Here is a 6,000-nt window from a genome sequence, read left to right as displayed (position 1 = left end):
GTTCTCTATTAAAGTAAAAATATTATGGAAATACCAATTTTATACTTTCATTTTGGTTATAAGAATCTGTGTCTCATCTAAATGTATAGATACATTCAATTATATATTATAATAGAAAACAAAGTATTTCACGTCGCACATTTATGCACACAAACATTATAATCCAAATTAAATATGTTTGTTTACCTTGACTAATGAAGAATAAAAAGGCTAAAATTCAATGCATACCATTTTAATTATGCCACAATGAAAACACATTAATAATATTTCATCAAAAAGAATATTTGCTGCTGTCAAAATAGTTATCAAACTTAGCAATCTTAATTTGTGTATGCAATTCAGAGTGCTAGAGAAAAAATTTGATAAAGATGTATTATTCATCAAAAATATAATTTTACTTATTTTCAGGAGAAATAAGATAAAGTTTTAAGTCAAAAGTAGAAAAGATTTGGAGTTCTTTGCTCCTGCCTATTGTGTCATCAAAGTAACTCAAATTCTATGAATTTAAGTGAGAGATTAAAATATCATGGCTATTTCAGAGAGTCTTCTTAATAAAATGATATTTTTTGAGACATGGTTGTTTTTAAATGGCTTGGTCCATGGTATTTAACGCTCATTTGGCTTTATTCTCTCTCTGCACCTAGAAGGAAAGTACTAACACTAGGCCATGTATGGACAAGAGGAAGTAGGTCAATAGATTATGGCTAAGTTTACATTTATGAACTATGCAACCCTTGATAGAGTAGAAAACCAGCCAGCCACAGAGAAACCAAGACCATTTTGCCACTCGCCAGCTGTACAGCAGATAGATATTTCAAATGGAAAACCATGTTGCTGGCTTTAAAGGTCAAAGGAGAAGTAATACTGAATATCCTGCTACCTCTCTTCCATAGCTTATATATCCAAGTGAAAAAGGAAGTTTTAGATTCTGTTCAATGACCTAATACTCTGAATTATAGGAAATGAGAAGAAATTTAAAATCTACACTTATATAAACTTACCTTAAAAACTGATTCACAGCACCTGATGGTATGGCAAACTTCACAACATCTGGTGGTTCAGCTTCTACTATAATATCAACACTAGGGAGTGGAATATTTGGATTGTCACGGAAGTTTAAACTAGCAGGATTTTTTTTTCAGTTGCAAGATTTAATAGAGTGAAAACAGAGCTCCCGTACAAAGGGAGGAGACCCAAAGAGGGTAGCTGTTGCTGGCTTGAATACCTGGGTTTATATCCCGATCATTGTCCCTCCTGCTCTGCTCTCAGGCGATAGATGATTGGCTATTTCTTTACCCCTGTTTTTGCCTACTTAGCATTGTAGTGAGCTCTCTTTACTACCTGATTGGTCGGGTGTGAGCTAAGTTGCAAGCCCCATATTTAAAGGTGGACGTGGTCACCTTCCCAGCTAGGCTTAGGGATTCTTAGTCTGCCTAGGAAATCCAGCTAGTCCTGTCTCTCAGTACCCCCTCTCAACAGGAAAACCCAAGTGCTGTTGGGGAGGTTGGCCGACGACTGCTCTAACTATAAACTAGCAGGATTCTTGATACCAATGGGATTCTGGACCCTAGAGAAATCTGTTAAAAAGTTAGACTACTTGGCATCTAGGACATCTTTGGAGTCAGTGATATGCTTAAAGCTAGCAGAGTCCATGCAGTCAGCAGAGACTTTGAAGTGAGCACCAAATTTGTGGTCATTAAAAATTGTATAATTTCTACCAAGCTTATATGGATCAGAAAATTTAGAGATGGTCAAATTATCAGGAGTGGAAGTATAGTTAGTGCCAACAGCAAAAGTTGGGGGAATTTCTATAAACAATATTAGGAATAGAGAAACTGGAATGGATTTTTAATTCAGGCTCTGGAAAATTAATATTGATGGTAATAGTGGAATTATGAGCTTTATGAGTATTTATGACATATAATTGGGGTTGATGACAAAGTTAGAGCCATCATTGACAAAGTTAGACAATGAAATGAGTAAATCTAAGGACATAGTTTGTGTCTGAGGCACAGTTGACACCTGCAATATAGCTAGGACTAATAGCATGACTACAACCAGTGGTGGTGTTGATGTCAGTTGCATTGACTGCACTAGTTGAAAAGCTAGGGCTGGTGACATAAAACTGTTTCTAGCAATATAGTTTGGGTGAACTACAAAGCTAGAATCCACTGTGTGGGTAAATCCTAGGACATAGTCAAGGTCTGTGTCATAGTTTGGGGCAGCTGCATAGTTGTATCCAGCAGCACTAATGAGTTCTGTACTGTAATTGGGGTCGATATCATTATTAGAACAGATAGCAGTGTTGTGAGTAGTAGTATTATTGAGCCTGGCATTATATTTAGATTCAAGGTCTTTTAGGGGGCCAGGGCTATTGTTGGGGCCAAGGCAATTGTTGTTGAGGCCAGTGCCATTGTTGCTCGGGCTGTGGCTCTTAGGACCCATTTTTAATATTTTTGGAGTCAGGGACACTGTTGTGGAAAATGTCATTGCCTGGCTCAGTGGCATTGCTAGGGCTGTCATCATTGTTGGAATCAGATGTGTGGTCCTGGCCAGTTCTATTTAGGGACCCAGAGGTGTGATTTGGATTAGTGCCATTGTTGGAGTCAGCAGTACTTTCCTTATCAACACTATTGTCTAAGCCAGAAGCATTGTCTGAATTGTTGATGTATTTGTTTTCCTCAGGATCAGTGCTATATTTGGAGTTTGCATCATTGTTAGTGACATATCAAATGTTAGGGTCAGTTTTACTGCTGGGGTCAGTTCCATTATTAGGGTCACTATCACTGTTGGAATTATCACCACTTGCAGAGCCAGCATCACCACTGGGATCAGAACCATTGTTGGTATCAACATAATTTTCAGCATTGCTATCTTTAGGATTAGTGTCATTAGTATCAGACCTATCTTTGGGATCTTTCTTATCTTTGTTGTTGTCTTTATCTTCAGTGTCTGTTTCATCTTCAGCATCTGTCTCATCTTCAGATTCTGTCTTATTCTCATGGTCTAACTAATCTTTGGGAAAAGACTTGTCTTTGGCATTGGTCTTATCTTTGAGATTGCCAGCACCGATCAGTTAAGTCTTATTTTTAGGATTGGCCTCATTTTGGGGTTTGAAAGTTACATTGTACTTTCCGCCACTTTTAAGACCAGAAATGTTGCTGGGGTTGATGACATTGCCTGGGCCAGGGGTACTATGGCAGCTCATGGTATTTTGGGGTTTCATGAAAAAGGTACAGATAATAGTAAAGCCTAAGAGATTTTGGAAAGCTGAGCAACTTTCACAATGTAAATAAGAAGTTGAACCTAAGGAATATTTAGAATCTTCCTGGTGTAGAGGACAGTGGTTGCCCACAGGAGACTTAGGATCCAGGGACCGAGAAAAGGGGCTATTTTGAGAAGTCTTGCAGTGTCTAACAGATTTGGGTTCAGATAATATTTTCAATCTAAGGGAAATTGGAGATGTAAAGGATAGTCAGGGTCTGAATCATCATTAGAATTTATGAGGCATATATGAAAAAGAGAATTACTGATTTCCATCAAACATTTGGGACATATTTGAGCTCCCATGTCCAAAGAATATGTGTTATTTTTATGAGTCTTGGAGTGTACAGCAGACCTAGGGCTTACAGAATTTGGGTGGAATGCCAGAGTTGTAACTCTCAGCAATTAGGAGATGAATAGGATTCATTTGAGACCCAGAACTCTGAAAATTATGTGTATATCTGTAGTCCTTATAGTGGCTCTTATGTAGATAAATTTTGTGGTTTTCATTTATGTGATGCTTGTTATCTATGAAAGTATTTCGGTCTAGGGAAAGGTTGTTGCTGCATTTTTCCTTTAACTTTTGCTGTGATTCTTGTTTGTCTCTGAGAGTTGGAGACACCTCTTTGAATCCCATAATTTTGTAATCACTGAGGTACCTCACAGGTTGAATTATGAAAAATGCTGGAGAGAAACAAGTAAAATATAAGTAAGACTATAATGAAATCTGACTTTGACGCTGACATTACAACATAAATCTGTGCCAAAAAATATTTCCTTCAGTAAGTTATTGCCAGTATTATCTGATATTTCAAGAGGAAGACATGATCCTAAATTTTCTCCTCAAGTAGGTGTGAACTTGAGCTTGCTAAAACATAAAAAAATGAAATGTGTACATTTATCTCATATGTTTATACTCTTCAGATTCACAGATCTTCCTTTTAAGATGAGAACTCACTATATAGGAATTCATTGGAATAACGTGGCCAAAATAAAATGGTTGTTTTACATAGCTTGGTTACTACAGAGCTATATTACTTGTTAATTTTGCCTCTAGTAATACTTACATTTTTTTCTTTCATGGAATATAATCGCTATAATTTATAAAATTTCTGTGTTTGAAGATAATAATATTCTTGGGCTTGATATGTCAAAATTGGAAAACTTTTTGATATTTTATTTAATAGCAAGAATCAATTTCCATAGCTATTAAAAACTTGCTGGCACATGATTCTGGATATTTAGATATGATATTTATCAATATCTTAGCTTTAACAAGGATGCCCACTTTCACCACTTCTACTCAACATTGTACTGGAAGGCCTCGCCAGAAAACTCAGGCAAGAGAAAGAAAAAACTGGGCATCCAAACTAGAAAAGAAATGGTCAAGTAATTGCTGTTCGCTGATGATATGACAGTATACCTACAAACCCTAAACACTCCTCCAAAAGACTCTTACATTTGATAAATGAATTCAGTAAAGTCTCAGGTTACAAAATCAATGTACACAAATCAGTAGCACTGCTCTACACCAACAATGACCAAGCTGGGAATAAATCAAAAGCTCAATCACTTTTACAATAGCTGCAAGAAAATAAAATACCATTTGATCCAGCAATCCCACTACTGGGTAACTACTCAAAGGAGACGTCATTATATCAAAAAGACACCTGCATGCATATGTTTATCATGGCACAACTCACAATTGCAAATATATGGAATCAATCTAAGTGCTCATTAACTCATTAACTGATGAGTGGATTAAATGTGATATACATACACCATTGAGTACTACTCAGCCATAAAAAGGAATGAAATAATGTATTTTGCAGCAACTTGGATGGAACTGGAGGCCATTATTCTAAATGAAGTAACTAAGAAATATAAAACCAAACATCGTACGTTTTCACTTGTAGGAGCTAAACCATGAGGATGCAAAGGCATAAGAATGATATAATGGATTTTGGAGACTCATGGGGACGGTTGGGAGGGGGTGAGGGAGAAAAGACTACATACTGGGGACAGTGTAAACTGTTCGGGTGACAGATTCACTAAGATCTCAGAAATCGCTACTAGAGAACTTATCCACGTAACCAAAAACGCCTATATACCCAAATCTATTGAAATAAAAATAAAAATTAATTAAAATATACAATGCTTCTATTTTTGCATCCAAAAAAAATCTTTGCCTAACCCAAGGTCACAAAAATTTTTCTGCCCTGTTTTCATCAACAATTTTTTTAGTTTTAGGATTTATTAAATAAATAGTAATGTATTAATATATACTATTTATATATTTATTATCATACTAATTTGTTATTTAGATCTAACTCAGTTATTTTTGTACACAATGCAAGAAATGCATATAATTAAAGTTTCTTCTTTTGTTTGTTTTGTTTTTGTTTTTTCAAAATCTTTATGTTCCTTTATTGGAGCAAGATTCCTGATCAGTATATAGTGATGTATTTACTAAACAGAGAGCTGTGCAGAAATTACATACTATACATCTAGGGCTGACCTGTCCATTAATTCACCTCTGAAAAAGTGGCATTTAATTTCAGCTACTATATTTTACAACATTAAAAAGCTTATGCATTAGGGTGCTTCCCTGCACAATAGCATTGAGCAGATGAAGCTGAGTTCATTATCCCACCCAGATTCACATAGTCATATTTGAGAGCTTTACACCAGAGAGCAGGGACAGTTACTGCCAACAATCACAGACTTCTTACTCTG

At 36.0% G+C, this 6,000-nt stretch overlaps 1 pseudogene; it reads right to left on the bottom strand.

Moving 5' to 3' along the window:
* The window catches only part of TEX16P (testis expressed 16, pseudogene), a 44,562-nt pseudogene continuing 39,571 nt past the window's right edge, over positions 1,010-6,000 (bottom strand).

This window comes from Homo sapiens, chromosome X, assembly GCF_000001405.40.
Source record: "Homo sapiens chromosome X, GRCh38.p14 Primary Assembly".
NCBI lineage: Eukaryota > Metazoa > Chordata > Mammalia > Primates > Hominidae > Homo > Homo sapiens.
This window is presented reverse-complemented; position numbering and strand designations above follow the sequence as displayed.